This window comes from Homo sapiens, chromosome 20 (assembly GCF_000001405.40).
Source record: "Homo sapiens chromosome 20, GRCh38.p14 Primary Assembly".
Taxonomy (NCBI): Eukaryota; Metazoa; Chordata; class Mammalia; order Primates; family Hominidae; genus Homo; species Homo sapiens.
The window spans coordinates 23,722,210-23,742,160 of record NC_000020.11 but is presented as its reverse complement, the minus strand read 5'-3'; the positions used below and the strand labels follow the sequence as shown (position 1 = coordinate 23,742,160).

The window sequence follows — 19,951 nt, the reverse complement described above, 5'->3', positions numbered from 1 at the left end:
CATAAAAGTTCTCCAAGTCCCCACCTGACCCAGAAGCCTAGCTGGCTTCACCTGTCAATCCCTCCTCAAACAGGACACCCCAACTGCTGTTGGGAGTTCAATGATGACCACTCTAGCTACTTCCTGCTGGATAGGGGCAAAGAAGGGGCCCTGCAGTTGTAGTATCCTCCAGAGGTGAACTCTTTAGGCCAGTGAAAGGGCCAGTGGGTTAGTCCAGGGGTCCTTGGTAGAAGTTGTTAGTTGAGCTCATTTGGGTTTCCATATGTAAGACCATCTGAAGCTTGGTGGCCTCAATCCTAGAGGAAACAAATTTGACAAGGAGGTTAAAAATACAGGGCCCGAAGGCAGGTAATAGCAAGATGGCTGCCAGGGTACCTAGAAAGGGGAGAAGCCATGTTGCTCAACTCCAGAGGTTGGTATAAGAGCTTGAAAGGTGTTATCTGATTTCAGAATCGTTTTTCTGTAAATGTCGGGTGGCATCTTGTACTATCCCTGACTGGCTAGTGTAAAAACAACACTCTTCCCCTAAGAAGGTACAGAGTCCTCCTTTCTCAGCAGTGAGGAGTCTAGGCCTCGGTGGTTTGGAGAATCATGGCTGCCAAAGAGTCTATTTGGGATTGTAGAGTAAGGATAGATTTCGCTATTTCTTGCAAACTGTCTAAGAAATCCTTTGAGAGTGTGTGGTAGTAGGATAATGAAGTAAATAAACTGGCTATTCCGGTTCCTGTAGCAGTAGCCATTCCTAACCCTGTAAGTAGGGGTATTAGTTGTATAGCTCTGAGCTGATGGACTTGAGATTTAATATTAATTATAGGGTACTTGAGCTATAATATCAATTATACTTGAGCTATAATATCAATTATAGGGTACTGATAGGGTCTGATTTCACAAGACTGGAAGTTAGGATAATATAAGTTTACACTGTTAACTTTTAGCAAACTTTACTTTTGTTGAAAACCTTTTAAGTTTGGGATTTCAATTCTTCTTTGCTATTAATAAGACCTCGTTCAGTCCATATTAACTTAGAACTGGTATGGATGGCTCCTTCCTGATTCTGTAAGTACTTTAAGGTTTGGGTTAGTGTAAACAGCTCGCACCCTTGAGCAGATCAATTATTAGACAATTTTCCTAATTCTGATTCTATGATTTTCCTTATCACTTACTGAATACCCATTGTGTCTTTTTCCTTAATCACCTGGGAGGAACCATCTATCCTCCTGTCCTGAAGAGAGTTCCTCCTAGATTTGGTCGGATGTTTGTATAGTAATTAATTAAGATTTAGATCCCCTGTTAGGAAACCTGCTGGGTTAAGGATTTTTGATAGGAAGGCTAAGGGTTTTCAGTGGCCTCAGTGCTTTCGGGCTACACCCTTGTTTACAATGACAAGGTGGTATTGGAGTGTTATAGGGTTACAGAGAAAACCTTCATTTATCAATTATAGGTTTTAATTTTACCCTGGCTTTTAAAGGAATAGGGTACACTTTTTTCTTTACTACTTCTATCTCTCTTTCTCTTTGATTTCTTTGTCTCTCTCTTTTTGACTCTCTCTTTTTCTGTCTCTTCCTCTCTCTCTTTGACTTTCTGTGTCTCTCTTTTTCTCTCTCTCTCTGACTCCCTCTTTGTCTCTCTCTCTTCCTCTCTTTGTCTCTTTGACTTTTTCTCTTTCTTTCTCTCTGACTCCCTTTTTCTCTCTCTCTTCCTCTCTCTGTCTCTCTCTCTCTAACTTTTTATCTCTTTCTCTCTTTCCTTTCTGCTGGTCTTTCCCTGCCTCTGCCAGCTGCTTATGCTGCTGTTCTCCCCTCTCCTTCCCCTTTTGATGGGCTTAGCAGTGTAAGACTGCCACCTCCTTGGGTTTTTGCACTGCGTGCAATAACTCCATGGTTTTCTTGTGGTATTTAATGGGGGTTCTCCCAGAGGTTAGGAACTCCCTTTCTTTCCAGATTGCAGCATGGGCATGTAGGATTAGATAAGCATACTTGCTATTTGTATACACATTTATTCTTCTTCCCTTTCCCAGTTCTAAGTCTTGGGTAAGTGCCACTAGTTCTGATAACTGGGTGCTGGTCCCTGGGGGAAGAGGCTTACTTTCAAGTACTGTTACTATGGCATAACCTGCCCTTCATATCCCATTCTCCACAGATGAACTTCCATCAGTATATAGTTTAGGTCAGGATTAGCTAAGGGGACTTCTAAGAGATCATCTCAGGTGACATAAATCTGGACTATAATTTTTTGGCAGTCATGCTTGATTGGCTCCTCATCCTCTGGGAGAAAAGTGGCAGGGTTGAGGGCCATGCACATACATATTTGAAGCACCAGTCCCTCAAGGACTAGCACCTGGTATCTAAGTAGGTGGTTGTCTGATAACCATAAACATCGTTTGGCACCTAGTATGTCATTTACATCATGAGTAGTCCAGACAGTGAGATCCTTTCCTTGTATTATTTTGATAACCTCTAACACTAAGATGGCCACCCCCACAACTACCCATAAATGGTGAGGCCAGCCTTTTGCTACTACATCAATTTCCTTACTTAACTATGCCACTGATATGGGGTTGTCCCACAAGTATAAGTAAGGACTCCAAGAGCTATTCCTGCTCTCCTTGTGATGTATAAAGAGAAGTTTTGTCTTGTGGGAAGGTTTAAGGCTGGAGCTTGAATTTGTTTCTTCCAATGCCCAGACTTCAGGGTTGATTCCCTCCTCAAGCAGGGGACAACAAATGGATAACTTGTTCCCCATATTCATGTAAATAATAGCTGCAGCTTTGGCTAATATATCCCTCCCTAATAAGGGTATAGGACTTTCAGGCATAACAAGAAAGACATGTGAAAAGAGCAAAGTCTCCCAATTACAACTGAGGAAGTGGGAGAAATATCTACCCCGGGATTCCTCGGATGGTAACAGACCTTGAGGGCACCTGTCCAGAACAGTAGATTAACACTGACAAAGCTGTGCCAGTGTCCAGGAGGAAGTCAATTTCCTGGCCCTCAATGGTTATACATACCCAGGGCTCAGTGAGCGTGATGACATGAACTGGCACTTGCCCCGGGCACCCTCAGTCTTGTTGTTGGATCATCTGGTTGGGGCTTCTGGCCCAGAGAACCATTGCACTCTGGGGCAATGTGCCTTCCAGTGATTGCCTTGGCATAGTGAACATGGACAAGGAGACAGCTTGTTTCTCATAGGACAACGTTTTTTAAAGTGTCCTTGTAAACCACACTGATAACAAGCGCTACCTGGTGATTGGCCTGCTCCATTTTCTGTCCTCTCTGAACCACCAGTGTTTGTTTGTCTGAGGGCCATGACTAAGGCTGTGGCCTTTCTCTGATTTTGCTTTTCCTTTTGGGCCTGTTCCTCTTGGTCCCTATCATAGAACACCGAAGTTGGCAGGTTTAATAATGCCTCCAGATTTTGTTCAGGGCCCAGGGCTTACTTTTAGAGCTTTCTCCTGATGTCTGCAGCTGATTGGGTAATAAACTTATCTTTCAGGATTAATTGACCCCCTAGTGAGTCGGGTGACAGGGGAGTATATATTCTTAAGGCCTCCCATAGCTGCTCGAGGAAGGCAGAAGCACTTTCTTCCTTTCCCTGACGTGGTGGACATCACTGAATAATTCATGGGCTTTTTCCTCATTCTCCTTAGTCCTTCTAGAACACAGGTTAACAGAGGTTTGTGACTCCAGTCCCCATGATCTGAGTCGAGGTCCCAGTGGGGATCCATACTGGGGATGGCTTGCTGAGCAGTAGGGAATTTGTCCCTTTCTTCAGCTGTCATTCTATCATTTACTTGAGTAAGATACCACGTATCTCCAGACTCTTGGGCTGCAGCTAAAGCTGCATTCTTTTCATTAAAGGACAGGATTTGATCTAATAATAACATGACATCTCTCCAAGTGAGATTGAAGGTTTGCCTTAGGCCCTGTAGGACATCTATGTAACTATCAGGATCATCTGAAAACTTCCCCAGGTCTGTCTTGATCTGCTTTAAATCAGAGAGGGAGAAAGGGACATCTACCTGTGTTGGGACAAATTCCCTTCCCCCTACAGCTTGAAGGGGGCATAACTGATAGCCCAGGGGTTTTTGTGGTCCTTTGGAGATTTGGTTGCCTATTTCCTTCTGAGCTGGTGAGATTAGAGGAGGCTTATTATTAATAGGAAGGGGAGATATAGGGAGGCTAGGATATGGGGGTAACCTGAAAGGTCCTCCTGTGGGATGTAAATTGTAAGCTTTGCATAGTTGTGTATTCTCCTTCAATGTAAAGAAAGCTTGGATATAAGGTATTTCACTCCATTTGTCTTCTCTCTTACAGAAATGGTCAAGCTGCAGGATAGTATTGTAATTTATACTTCCATCAGGTGGCCATTTTCCCCCTTCAGAGAGAGAATATTGGGGCCAAGCCATATTGCAGAAAAAAATGAGCCACCTCTTTTTCAGGGTTTGTGGGTCAAATTGGTTCCAATGGCTTAGGATGCATTTCAAGGGTGAGCCTGTTGATGCCTGAGTGTTTCCCGTCTGAAAGACAAAACTGCCCATGGTTTTGGTTTGCTTGTTTCTCCCCCTGCCCAAGAACCCAAAATGGTCCTTGGGACCTGCTGATTGGAGTAGTTGCACTCACCGATGCAGCAGCAGAAACACCTCTTGCCCAAGAACATGCAACAGTCCCTGGACCCTGCTGATTGGAATAGTTTCACTCACCAATGCAGCAACAGAAACGTTAGTTTTCTTCCACAAGGAGGACTGAGGAAGGTCAGATTTAGTGGCCCTTACCAATGCATTCTTGAAAACCTGCACCCTTGCCTGTCCTCCTAGACCACAAAGAAGACTGAGAAAAATTGGATTTAGTGGTCTTTACCAACACATTCTTGAAAACCTGTTAGTCCTAAGCATTCTCATGTTAGTGTTGGGACTTTAACTCTGTCCTATAAAGATGTTATGCCTGAAAAATGAAGTGGAGGGCCATAGCCTGAGGGAGGGGAGGGATCATCAGAGTTGGAAGAGTGATGCCTTTTTGTCCTCACTTATATGAATAGGAAGGATATCATTTCTGAAGCTCCCCATATCCTAGCTTCCAGAATAGCTTCTCTAGGCCTGCTTGTCTGAGGAGGGATCCTAAAATTCCAGATAGTCCCCCCTGTGATGGGGCTTTGGGCAAAAATTTTGTCTTTCTGATTGGTGAACCAGGGAGCCTAAAGAAGGTAACAGAGTCCTGAAGTTTATACTAGAAATCACTCTTACAGGAGAAACTAGAAAAGCACCAGAGACAGGAAGTAGTTTTTAGAAGTGGGACTAGCCTCAGAGAAGAGAGGTGAGAGGAAGTTTGTCTGACAAGCATTAGAATCCAGGAGGCAAGGGTCAGGAGAGATAGGATAGATAGGATAGATGGGCGAGTCTTGCTTGGGCGACATGACTTTGAGAGTTCCACTCATGGCCCCAGGGTCAACCAAATTGTTGACCCTGAGAGCTGAATGGCTTTCCTCTCTGTTGACCCCCAGCTCAGCCCAGAAGTACAGGAAAAGTGGAAGCTGGTTCCAGGCAAACCAACGCTCCCAACTTTAAAGAGTTGGGGGTTGTTAGAGAGCCTTTTCCCAGAAAGCCTGACACCCATGTCTTTAGTCTGGTGGCTGCGCTAGTCACTTTTAACTGGCTGACAGGTGCCCAGTATTTAGCACCCAAGTTCTAAGGAAAAATAGGACACAATAAATAGCAAAATGGGTCTGATGGTACTCACTGCTTGGTAATAGGTGATAGTGCCTTCGTGGTCACCAAAATGTGTTCAGAATTGGTTATTTCTGGTGGATTCTTGGTCTTGCTGACTTCAAGAATGAAGCCGTGGACCCTCGTGGTGGGTGTTACAGTTCTTAAAGATGGTGTGTCCAGAGTTGTTCCTTCTGAAGTTCAGATGTGTCTGGAGTTTATTCCTTCTGCTGGGTTTGTGGTCTTGCTGACTTCAGAAGTGAAGCCACAGACCTTCACAGTGAGTGTTACAGCTCTTAAAGGTGGCGCATCTGGAGTTGTTCATTCCTCCTGGTGGGTTCATGGTCTCACTGACTTCAGGAGTGAAATTGCAGACCTTCATGGTGAGGGTTACAGCTCATAAAGGTAGTGCAGACCCAAAGAGTGAGCAGCAGCAAGATTTATTGTGAACAGCGAAAGAACAAAGCTTCCACAACATGCAAGGCAACCCAAGCAGGTAGCAGCTGCTGGCTCAGGTGGCCAGCTTTTATTCCCTTATTTGCCCCCACCCACATCCTGCTGATTGGTCCATTTTACAGAGTGCTGGTTGGTGCATTTACAAATCTTTAGCTAGACACAGAGCATTGATTGGTGCATTGACAATCCTTTAGCTAGACAGAAGAGTTCTCCAAGTCCCCACCTGACCCAGAAGCCTAGCTGTCTTCACCTCTCACATCAACCACAGAACATACATTCTTCTCATGGGCCTACAGAGCATACTCAAAGACAGAGCTGCTGGTCTGAATTGGGAGTGTGGGCCACAGTTCCCTTATCTTGCAAATAACTTGGCAAAGCAACAAACCCCCTCAGGTCCAAGCCTGGGCGTATTTCCCAGCATTCAACACTTCCACTTCCTGAAATAAGTGTCTAGCAGCCTTTCCTGCAAAGACCTTTTTGCAATAGCCATTTCACTGCTCTGAAGCAAATTTTTTTGTTCCTCACTGAGGGGCATATTTCCAGGCATTTGGCCCATCTGCTCACATAGATTAAGATCCTGGGTCACGCCTCCATTCCCGTGCAGACATCTTGGTGTAGAAGCACCCTCTTCACTCCACAACCAGGCATAATTTCAAGAATTCAGTGTGCCCCCTCACCTGGATTAGGAGCATAAGTTGCCTTTCCCTTCTAATGCAGAGATCTTGGTGCATCTGTACTTTGCTACTCCACTCTAAGGTATCGTTCCAAGCATTCAGCACACCTACTCTACTGGACTGGAACCCTGAGTCACTTCTCTTATCCTGTGCAGAAATCTTGGTACAACAGTGCCCTCTCTGTCATGCTCAGGGATACTTCCAGGCATGTTGAGGACCCACTTACCCGGAATAGGAATCTGAGCTGCCCCTCTCTTCTCATGCAGAGATCTTTCTGCAGCAGCACCCTCTCCACTCCATGCTGGGCACATTCCCAGGCATTTGGAGAACCTTCTCACCTGGATTAGGAGCCTCAGCCACTCCTCCCTTCAGGTGCATAGGTCTTGAATCAGCAGCACCCACTATGCTCCATGCCTGGACATATCTTCAGGCATATGGATTACTCACTTTTCAAGATTAGGAGGGTAGGTTACCACTCCCTTTCCAGGCAGAGAACTTTGGGCAGCAGAGGGTTATCCCCTCCATACCCAGGCAGCTCTCTGGATGTTTTGCAGCTGCCTCTTTATCTGCCCTCAGAGCTAGTGCTTGCACCTACCACTGGTGGACATGTAGGCATGTCTGCATTCTCTGGCCCCAACCAACTTGTTCCCTTAGTCCAGGACTGTACAGGGAGCTCACACCACTGTGCATTGCACAACATAGCCCATTGCCTGAGGCAACAGAAAGCATCTCGCCATAAACAAAGATCAAGTATATGCCCCATTTGCATCAGCCTTAGCTGGTTCTTATCCATAAGCACCACACACTGGCTTGGAAAATAAATGACACAATCTAATAGAAAATCTGCTGACAGAAATGCATTGCACTGGAGAATGAGATAAGCTTCCTGAGACCTCAACCACACTGGACTTGTAGGAGACAGTGAACCCACTCATTCATCCCTACACCACTACTACAACCAACATCTGAGAAAGCCACCATACAAAGACTATCTATAACCAAGGAACATACACAGAACCTTTAACAATGAAAGTCCAGAACCAAAGTTGAACCCTACACAGCAGACATTATACACATTCTCAAGGGAGAAAAGAAAAAAACAAAAACATCCCTTCCAAATGAAAGTAAATTTAAGAATTAGAAGCAGAGATAGCTTTTGCAGATGAGAAAGAATCAGCAAAAAAAAATTCAAAAGTATGGAAAAGCAGAGAGTAACAATACCTCAAAAGGACCACACTAACTCTCCAGAAATGGGTCTTCATGAAAATAATTTTTTTGAAATGCTTGATAAAGAATTTAAAATACTGATTTTTAAAAAGCACAAAATAAGCCAAGAGATAGTTGAAAAGCAACATAAATCAGAAATACAATTCAAGACATGAAAAAAGAGATAGATTTTTAAAAACCCATACAACTACTAAAAATAAAAACTGTATTGGTGAAATTTTAAAATCCAGGTAAAAGCATCAACAGTAGGCTTGACCAAAGCAGAAGAAATTATTTCAGAGATGGAAAGTAGGTCTTTCAAATTAATCCAGCCAGACAAAAATAAAGGAAAAAAAAATTAATGATTAAAGATTTCAAGAAATATGGGACCATATAAAAAGCATGTAAAAATAAGAGTCATAGATATTCCAGAGAGAGAAGAAAAAAGTAAAAAATATAGAAAAATCTATAAATGAGACAAAGAAGGTAATTATATAATGATAAAGAAATTTATTTGAGAAGATCTAACAATTCCAAATACATGTGCACCAAACATTGGAACACCTAGATTCATAAAACAAATACTACTACACCTAAAAAAAAAGATAGCTACCAATACAGTATTTGTATGGGACTTCAATATCCCACTGACACAACTAGACAGTTCATTGAGGCAGAAAATCAACAACAACAAAAAATTCTGGATTAAAGTTGAATTCTAGAGCAAATGGACCTAACAGATATTTACAAAATATTCTACCCTACAACCTCAGAATATACAGTCTTCTCATGTATGCATGAAACATTCTCAAAAATTTATCACATGCTAGGCCACAAGGAAAATCTCAATAAATGTAAAAAAATTGAAATCATATCAAGCACCTTCTAAAAACAACAGTGAAATAAAAATACAGATCAACACTAAGAGGAATACTCAAAACTATACAAATACATGAAAATTAAATGATCTGCTTCTGAACGACTGTTGGACCAATGATGAAATTAAGACCCACATCAAAAAAATTGTAAATGAATAAAAATAAAGATATAGCTTGCAAAAAATATCCGAAAAACAACAAAATCAGTGCTAAGAGGGAAGTTTATAACATTAACTGCCTACATGAAAAAGATAGAAAGATCTCAAATAAACAACTTAAGGTTATACCTCAAGAAACTTGAGGAAAAGAAAAAAACACACCAAAGGCTAGTAAAAAAGGAAAAAAAGAATAAAAATCAGAAAAGGACTAAATGAAATTGAGACCAAAAAAAAAAAAAAAAAGAATCAATGAAATGAAGTTGGTTGTTTGAAAAGATCAACAAAATCAATAGACCACTAGCTGGATTAACCAACAGACAAAGAGAGGAGATTCAAACAAGTGCAAGCAGAAGTGATAAAGGTGTCATTACAACTGATAACAACAGAAATACAGAAGATTATCAAAGACTACTCTGAGCAACTCTATGTGATCAATGAGAAAACCTAGAAGAAACAGATGGATTTCTGGAAATATACAACCCCTGAGGTTCAACCAGGAAGAAACAGAAATTTTGAACAGACCAATAATAAGTAATAAAATTGAATTAGTAAGAAAAAAAATCCCAACAACAAAAAAGCCTAGGACCAGATGAGTTCAAAGCCAGGTACTATCAGATGTACCAGACAGAACTGCTGCCAATCTTACTGAAACTGTTCCAAAAAGGGAATCTTCTCTAATTTATTCTATGCAGTCAGCATTGCAATGATACCAAAGATAGAAAAGAACACAACCAAAAACAACAACAACAACAACAAAAAAAACTACAAAACAATATCTGTAATAAACATAGAAGCAAAAATCCTTAACAAAATGCTACCACACAAAATCTAACAGCATATCAAAGACTAATACACAAGATTGAGTGGGTTTTATTCCAGAGATGCAAGATTGATTCAACATACACAAATCAAAAAATAGGATTCACCATATAAACAGAATTAAAAACAAAAACCATGTGATCATATCAAAAGATTCAGAAAAAGGCATTCAACAAAATCCAGCATCTCTTCATAATAAAGACCCTTACCAATTAGGCATAAAATGAGCATACCTCAAAACGATAAATGCCATATATGACAAACCCAAAGCCAACATCATTCTGAATGAAGAAAAGTTGAAAACATTTTCCCTAAGAATAAGAACAAGGCAAGGATATCCACTACGAGGACTCCTATTCAACGTACTACTGGAAGTTCTAGCTAAAGCAATCAGGCAGAAGAAAGAAATAAAGTACATCAAAGTTCTAAAAGAGGAAGTCAAATTCTCGTATTTTTTTATGATATGAACTTATACCTAGAAAACCCTAAAGATTCCCCCAAAAGGCTCTTCGATTTGATAAATTTCTTCATGAAAGTTTCAGGATACAAAATTAATGTACAAAAATCAGTAGCATTTCTATATAACAATAATGTCCAAGCTGAGAACCAAATCAAGAACTCAATCCAATTCATAATAGTTACAAAAAGTAATAAAATACCTTGAAATACATTTAATCAAGGAGTGAAAGATCTCTACAAAGAGAACTATGAAACACTAAAGAAAGAAATAATAGATGGCAAAAATGTATTTTAAAAATCCCATGCTTATAGACTGGGGGAATCAATATCATTAAAATGACCATACTGCCCAAGCTATCTACAGATTCAATTAAATTACTATCAAACTACCAATGTCATTCTTCATAGAATCAGAAAAAAAAAATCGTAAAGTTCACATGGAACCAAAAAAGATCCTGAATACCCAAAGCAATGCTAAGCAAAGAGAATAAAATTGGACAGATCACATTATATTGTATGGCTCTAGTAGCCAAAACAGCATGGTCTTGTTGTAGAAAGAGACACATATGGAAAAATAAAGCCACATAGCTACAACCAACTGATCGCTGACAAAGTTGACAAAATTTTATAAAGAGAAATCACATTCTATTCAATAAATGGTGCTGGGATAATTGGTGAGCCATATGTAGATTCATGAAATTGGCCTCTTACCTTCCATCACATACAAAAATTAACTCAAGGTGGATTAAAGACTTAAATGTAAGAACAGAAACTAAAAAAATCTTAGAAGACAACTTAGGAAAAACTCTTCTAAATATTGGTCTAGGCAAATAATTTATCATGAAGTCCTCAAAATAAAATACGACAAAAACCAAAACAGAGAAATGGGACTTAATAAAACTAAAAAGCTTCTGCACATCAAAAGAAATAATTCTCAGTAAACAAACAACCTGCAGAATGGGCGGAAAGATTTGCCAGCAGTGTATCTGACAAAGAGCTAATATCCAGGCTCTACAAGGAACTTAAACAACTCAACAAGAAAAACAAGAATAACCCCATTAAAAAGTGGCCACAGGGTATGAACAGACATTTTTAAATAAAAGACATATAAACGGCAAACATATGAAAATACTTAACATAATTAAATGTCAGAGAAATGAAAATTAAAGCCGCAATGCCATACCATCTTATAATAGTCACAATGGCTGTTATTAAACAGTCAAAAAATGGCCAAGTGCAGTGGTTCATGCTTGTCATCACAGTATTTTGAGAGGCTGAGGTGGGTGAATCACTTGAGTCCAGGCATTCAAGATAAGCCTGGGCAACATAGTGGAACCTTGTCTCAAGAAACAAGAAAAAAAATATCCAGGTGTGGTGGTATGGGCCTGTAGTCCTTACTACTCAGGAGGCAGACCCAAGAGGATGCCTTGAGCCCAAGAGATTGGGGTTGCAGTGACCTATGATCATGCCACTGCACTTCAGCCTGGGCAACAGAGGGAGACCCTGTCTCAAAAATGGTCAAAAAGCAAGATGTTGGAAAATATGTATTGGTTGGTGTGTAATTAGCATGACCTCTATGGAAAACAGTATGATAATTTCTAGAAAACTAAAAATAGAACTACCCTTCAATCCAGCAATTCCACTACTGCACATGTACTCCCCAAAAAGAAAGAAATCATTATATAAAAAAGCCTTCTGCATTTGTATGTTTATTGTAGCACAATTCAGAATAGCAAAATTGCGAAATCAACCTAAGTGTCCATCAACATATCATTGAATAAAACAATCTGGTAGATATATACCATGGAATACTATTCAGCCATAAAAGTGGATGAAATTATGACTTTTGCAGCATGTGTGTGGAACTGGAGGCCATTACCCTTAGTGAAATGACTCAGAAACAGAAAATCAAGAACTGCATGTTCCCAATTATACATGGGTGCTAAACCGTGGACATGGACTTACTGAGTGGAATGATAGACATTGGAGGCTCCAAACAGTGGGAGGATAGAATGAGGGTGAAAGTGAAATGCTGCCTATTGGGTACAATGTATCTTTTTTGGGTAGTTGTACGTAAAAGCCCAGATTTCATCTCTACAAAATATATACATGTAACACAACTGCACCTGTACCCCTAAATCCATCAAAAATCTAAAAAAATTAGTTTTAAATAAATACATTTTTAAATGCCATACATCCTATAATTCAACAATGTATAGCTGATCATTAGCCACTGTTATTTCTGTAAATCAATGAGAATTAGATCAACAACTTTGGTAATCACGCCTTCTCTTCACTTGTACTTTTTTTCCTTAAAATCTTGAGTTTGATTTTTTGTTCTACAGAGCAGTCCCCAAGGCAACCTGAAAGTGTGTCCTGTGCTCCACTCTTGCTTGATCTCTGTGCTTAAATAAACTCTCTTTCAACTGGAAAAAAAATTAAGAGAAATGAATGAATGAGTACAAAAATAATTTTAAAACAAACTCTATAGTGTACACAGAAGCCTTAATGTTTATCTTATAATTAGTTATTAAAGTCTTTTCTTGATTATTTACTTTTTCTGGATATAGGAGATCAAAGTGAAACCAATAGGTATACAGACAACATTTGGCTATAAATCTATGAACTGAATGTTGACAAATTATACCTTTTAAAAAGAGGAGAAATATGCAGAACAAAGGTGAATGTATAGTGTATAGTAGATGGGCAATAAATATTTGCATTTAGTGGAAAATGAATAAAACTCTGTTTTACAAAAAGCATGAGATGTCCTATAAAATTAATGGAAGATCCTCCTTCCTTTTTTAAAATAAAACAGACTTTCAAAAGGGAAGAAAACTCTAAGAAATTATAAAGATTGCATGTGCTTGGTTCCTAGTTTATTATTTTTCCTCCTTACATATCTTCTTCCTTTCACATTAATTCTCTTTCTCCCTCTCCTGCTCTGAGTAAATAATCAAATGTTTCTGCCCTCATTTTGTCTATATCTTAATTGTCAAAACCAGAACACATACCTATAAGGCAAGCACAATGGGTAGGAACACAATGTCCAATCTTAAGAAAATATCTTAATCTTTCTCAGTCGCATTTCTCTTATCTGGAAATGGTGGCATCAGTCAGGATGAGCTGTGTTATGCTGTGGTAACAAAAAAAAGTACGAGGGACTTAAGACAGCAACATACCATTCCATTACTGTGACTGCTATTTGTATAGATGCACTGCATGTGTGTCGGGGTGCTGAACTATGTTGTGCTCACTCTGGATCCCAAGATGATGGAGAAGACACCCTCACAACAGTATCAGGGGCCAAGGCAATAAGCACCAGCTTTCCCCAAGTGCAACTGGAAGTAACAGATGTCACTTATTCATCTATTATATTGACCAAAGCAGGTCATGACTACAGCCAACTCAAAGGAAGGGGAAGGACAATCCTATCTTGTACCCATAAGAAACAGAAGCACTCAAGGGACAGCCCTAAAGACTATCACAAATACCCACTCAATCACATCAGGCAGATGTCTGTGCTTCTGCCCACAGCACCAGGATACCAGGCAAGCAATAGCACAGCTCAGATCCCAGTTTCTCCCTGCTCACCACCTCCACTTCCCCAGACATTTTGGACACAGTGGACCTGAAACCAAATAATAGAAGTATAATAAAATATAGTCACCTCACAGGGGGGATGGCTCATGCCTATAATCCCAGCACTTTGGGAGGCCAAGGCGGGTCGATCACTTGATGTCAGGAGTTCGAGACCAGCCTGGCCAACATAGTGAAACCCTGTCTTTACTAAAAATACAAAAATTAGCTGGGCATGGTAGCGCATACCCGCGGTCCCAGCTACTTGGGAGGCTGAGGCAGGAGAATTGCTTGAATCTAGGAGGCAGAGGTTGTATTTAGCTGAGATTGAGCCACTGCACTGCAGCCTGGGGGACACAGTGAGACTCCATGACAAAAAAAAAAAATATATATATATATATGTATACAGTATCCTGAAAATGCCTTAAAGTACACAGAAAATATTTTACCCATCTTTGGGCAGTCAAGCAACACCTAGGCAGAGTACCTTGATGATCATTTGTGTTTTCACCCACCGAGTTCACCAAGATGCCAAGATTATTTTGCCCTGAACCCACTTGGAACTGTCTGGGTGCTGGCATGTGGCTTCGGGTTGCCTCTCTTACCCAATTCCTTGTTTCATAGAAGGGAATGAGCTTCATGGCACCTGTGATTCATTTTCACCTTTACCTTATTTTACTTTTGGGCCTCCAAGCTAATGATTACAATTTTCCTTGTCTCTCATTTCCTTTATAGACATTTTAACTTTTCTGTGTGATTTTTTTTTTAATGACATAAAGCTATTTGCTTTTTGTTCCTGCAACTTTTATAAAATGTTTCTCTTTTAATTATTCAAGAATATTTGTCCATAAATTAAAGTTGTCAAACAAAGATTTATAGAAAATTTTCAGGCTTGTCATAAAATGGGCCTAATTGTGTCCTCCTCCTGTATTATTGAGCATGTGATGTGTGGTAGACGCTCGATTGGGTGCTGGAGATATCAAGCAGGAAGATCCGAGTCATCCACCCTCAATGAGTGTCAGGTCTGCTAGAGAGGGAAGTGGAAATCAGAGGAGAGAACAGGGCACTGGAGAGCACAGAGAAGGGAACCAAACCCACAGAGGCTGGGAGAGGAGGACAAGCTGCCCACATTCCTGGGTCCTCTCTACTTGAGCACCTACCAGCCCAACTTCCAATTACCAGCATCTGTACCCATTTACCTGTACAAATAGCCCAAGTAAGTGCAAGATAACTAATTCCCTGACACATTCTCCAAGGACTGACACCAGCTGACATGTTAAACACAATCTCCCAGAAGTTCCCAGCAGAAATGAGCTGCATAGCAGTAGCCTGACAGCTCACACTCATAGTATTGACCACCTTCTCATCCCTATTTCATTTCCTCACTGTCCTAGGAGTGTACCCTGGGACTGCCTTCCAGATAAGCCACTTGAAATTGAATTCTGGTTACAAGGTCTCCCTCTGGGTAGCCCAATCTTGACAGTCATCTTTATGGAGAATGTAATTTCTGTGGAATCACAAAAGTTGAAGAGGAATCAATGAGGTGACATAGGGGAAGGGAATTCCAAAACAGGGAGTCTGGGCCAAGACATATGGGCGTGAATAAGTGTCAAGTTCCATATGAGGAGAGATGACCCTGGAGTTTCAGGGGTTTCAAACACTGAGCTCCAGGTCAAAGGCTATCAAACTGGGCCCACCATGGAATTTGCCAAGTATCCAAAGGTGTTGAGGACTGGGGACTGCTGGGAGATCTAACCTCATGCCAAAAGCATGAAACCAGACTGCATGGGTTAAAAGCCTGGTTCTTCCACTTATAAGCTGTGCAACTTTGTAATACTTGCCTCTCTGTGGTTCAGTTTCTTCATCTGTAAAATGGAGACAGTAATAGTAACTACTAAGCAGTTATGTGATGCTATAATAAATTATTGAATTATGTTCATTGTAAGGTGACATTATTATTAGCTAGTTTTGGTTTGTGATTCTCTCAGTGATCTCTGAAAGGCACATCACATGGGGAAGGAGACTCAGTCCTTGCTCTCCAGGACCTCATGGACTAGTGGGGGACAGAAATACACACACGAGTAAGAAAGACCATGAGAGGAGGAGGATAAATGCCTATAGTCAACATAAAAGTGCTGTAGGAGACCAAAATCAAAAGGTTCACACCTGGTTACATGGATCAGAGAAGGATTTATAGAAAAGGTTTGTGTAGACCTGAACTTGGGAAGCATGTTATATTTGAAGAGGCAAAGATCTAGGGTGGGTGGGGAGCTACAGGTGCACTTTCCAGAAGGGCAAATTCATATAAGCTTGGACAGGATGTGTCTGAGAACATCAAGGAAGTCCAGCTTCTCTAAAGGCCAAGCTATGTGATGGGCAAAGGCTGGAGGGCAGCCACAGAGGGCAAGTTTCCAGGGCCTCATGTGGCAGGGGATGTGGCTTTCAGAACATTTGAGAACCAGAGAAACAGAATCTAAGGGTGGAGACTAGTGGACCAGTGAGGAGTTCACTGTGGATGTCCAGACCAGACCTATCTAGACAGCATCCAGCAATGTGGGAGATGAGAAATAAAATAAGTCTTCTTTTTTATTGATGTCAAAATAGTTCTGAGAATAGAAGGCAGTTATAATGTTACAAAGCCAATTACCACCTTCTTTTTCTGTATAAAATATAGAATCAGAGTGACTGTATAATCACATGAGGTTGATAAAGGGCAGAAAACAGTGCCCAATGCAGAGTAACTGCTTACACCCAGCAGTGACGATGATAATGATGATGGTGATGATGATGGTATTGTGGAGGTGGAGATGGTGATGGTGGTGAAGATGCTAATGATGATGCTATAGCAGCAGTGGTGATTCTGGTGATGATAGTAATGGTGGTGATAGTGACAGTGATGATGGGGATTGCAGTGGTCATGTTGGTAATAATGGTCATAGCGTGGTGATGGTAGTGATGATGGTGGTGATAATATTGGTGATGGTGGTGGTAGTGGTTATGATGTGGCAAAAGTGCTGATGGTGATGGTGGTGGCAGTAATGGTGATGGTGGTGATAAGGGAGAAGATGGTGGTGATGATAATGATGATGGTGGTGAGAGTGGCGGTGATTATGGTGATGATGATGGTAATGAAGATAGTGATGTGGTGATGATGGTGGTTATGGTGGTCATGTTGATACTGGTAATGGTAGTTATGAAGATGATGGTGTTACTGATGAGGATTACCATGGTGACTGTGGTGGTGATGGTGATGGCAATGGTGGTGGTGATGGTAGTGATGATGGTAATGGTGGTGGTTGTGGTGATGGTGGTGATGGTGATGTTAGTAGTAATAATTATGGCAATGGCAATGGTGTTGATAATGATGGTGATGGCGGTGATGGTGATGGTGGTTGATAGTGATGGTAATAGTGGTGATGGGGTGTTGATGATAATGGGGATAAATGTGCTGATGGTACTGAGATTGATGGTGATGTTGGTGGAGATAATGATGGTGACACTAGTGATGATGGTTACAACAGTGGTGATAACGGTGATGGTGATGGGACAGTGGTGATTGTCGTGATGATAATGGTGATGGCTTGGATGGAGATGGTGGTGATACTATGTTTTATGGGAGAGGATGAAGCTATTTGGAGTAGAATGTAAGCACCAGGCCTGGCCAGGTACTAGTAAGAGAGTTCTACCCTCTAGAGATTTATCAGGTCGGGACTCAGGTAAATCTTCTCCTTAGACTCCTCATCGTGGATGGAAAACTGTGTCTGCCACAAATGAATCGCGAGTCCCTGTTAACCACAAATGAATCGCGTGTCCCTGTTAACCACAGGAACAAAAGTAGATTTTCCCTGGCATTCATACTTCTGACCTCCAGAAGGGACCATGAATAAGAAGTAGTTGGGAGATGAGTAGCTTTAGTAAAGGGGGAGGGAAGGAAGAGAGTGAACAGGGAGATAAGCGGAAGGGGGAAGAGTGAAAGAGAGGAAAGAAACCAGTCTTGTCCACAGAGGTGTCCACATGTTCATCACCCACCCTGAGAGAGTCCTTGTCTTCTGAGAGGGTCCATTCTGGGCCTGTCCAGCAGGGGCTGTGGGGACAGCTGCAGGAACAGGAGGCTGTGCCATCTACTGGCCATGGCTCTGAGCAATAAAACCCTGCACACCCAGGTAACCCAGAGCAGCAAGGACAGAGCCAAGCAGAGGGGCCTCTGCAGAACCCATACAGCACTCAGGGAGTGTTTAGTTTGTAGAGCTTCTTCCTTCAAGGCAGACCCTATGTCGACCCCAGGGCCACTTTCAGAGCCTGCTCCCCAGGGTGAAGCTGGAGTAGAGGGACCTGAGGGACTGGACATCAGTGGGTGAGTGCTTCCCTCTGGTGGTCAGTGTGTGAAGTGGAGGATGCAGGCCCCACCTTACAGAGGTTCTCTGCAAACTCATGAACCCAGCAGGATTTTCAGGGCAGGTGGCTGTGGGCAAAGGAATTGCCCTGTAGCTTTTGGTTTCTCTGCCCCTTGGAAGATTCTCTTCATGATGTCTTCATCTTCACATGTCACATTTCAAAATATTGTCCTCTTCTTTATTGTGAGGTTGGATGATTGCCACTCTGTGAGCCTCTTCCCGCCTTAGTTTCCGTCAGATGCCCTCTGTCTCTCAGAAATCAGCCACCCACCCTGCCTGCCAACTCGGACACAGCCCAGGATCCCTCTCAGACACCTTCCAAGCGATGGGTTATAGACTCTGGGTTCCTGTAATCCATGCTTTTTTGGATTAAGGACTGCTAATGTTGATTTTCCAAATATGGTTGGCAAAGACTAAAATTGACTATCACTAATTCATAATGGAAAACCATGTGGTACTGCACCATATGAAGTCCATGATCAAAATCGAGAGGTGCCCTCCCCTGCACTCTGGTAAAACCTGAACATCCAGGCTGGATCCAGGGAGTAGCATTTGAGATCCACAGTCCTACATGGGTGACATCCCAAGCCTCTGTGGGAACAGCTCTGGATTCCTCTCCAAAGCCCCAGCCCTGAAAATCTGCTCATCCTCACCTCTGCCTTGGCTGAGTAACCATCCTGTAACTTACTCAGGCCTGGGCTGCAGTTCTGTTCTTTCCTCCTCACTGCGCCCTCAACCCAGCCCTCAGCAAGTCCTGCCCCGCCACCTCTCACAGGCATCCTCAGTCTCCTGTGCTCCACCTCCTGGCCACGGCACAGGCACAGGCCACTATCCTCTCTTTCCTGAGGAAATGCAATGTCCTCCTGACTGTTCTCCGCCCTCCCATTCTCACCAACTAGAAGCCCGTTCCTTCCCTGTGGCCATGCCAGCCTTCTAATAATATAAAAGGTGTCTTGTCATGTCCTGGTAAAAGCTTTCAAAGGCTTCTCATTTCACTTGGAGTAAAATAGAAATTCTTCAGCACGGTGTGCAAGGCATGGCAGGAATTGATATCTGCTCATCCACCAAACCCAGTCTGCTTACCTCTCCTGCCGGCCAGTCCCTCACTCAATTCAGGAGCTTCCACAGGTTAGGATCATTTCCAGCTGGGGGTCGGTTTATGATTTTCTTTGCATCAAACACCCCTCTTGTTGGCTTTCTGCAGCTGGCTCTTTCTCCTCCTTAAAAGTCTAGCTCAAATGTTATTTCCTCAAATTGATCTTTCCTGATCATTCTCTGCAGTTAGAATTTGACTTGGCAACCAGTTCATTGAAGGCAATATTGTATCCATCTCATTCTCTGTAATGTGTCTGTGCTTCTCACAATCTGTGGAATGTGGAGGACACTCAGTGTGCATACTGGATGAACATGCCTTTATGGGTGTTTCAGAGACTTTCCCAGTGTGGATAAGATGATTCCATGTGGATAGCTTGCTGGCAGCTCCCATGAGGTGATGATGACTACTTGTGAGAACTGCTGTTTTGATGGTTAGTGTTTTAATTACTTTTCCATCTTTTGAAAAATAGTGAAATCTTAAAGGAAATATCAAAATGCAACTGGGGAAGGATAAGAAATGACCCTGGGGAGGGTG

At 41.8% G+C, this 19,951-nt stretch overlaps 1 long non-coding RNA gene across 1 annotated transcript; it reads right to left on the bottom strand.

Moving 5' to 3' along the window:
• Positions 1-11,225: 11,225 nt before the first annotated feature.
• Positions 11,226-19,614, bottom strand: LOC105372574 (uncharacterized). Its single transcript, XR_937387.2, has 3 exons — positions 19,405-19,614; positions 13,363-13,484; positions 11,226-12,774 (listed from the first exon to the last, which is right to left on the bottom strand). It is a non-coding gene; the product is annotated as an uncharacterized LOC105372574 (long non-coding RNA).
• Positions 19,615-19,951: the final 337 nt, after the last annotated feature.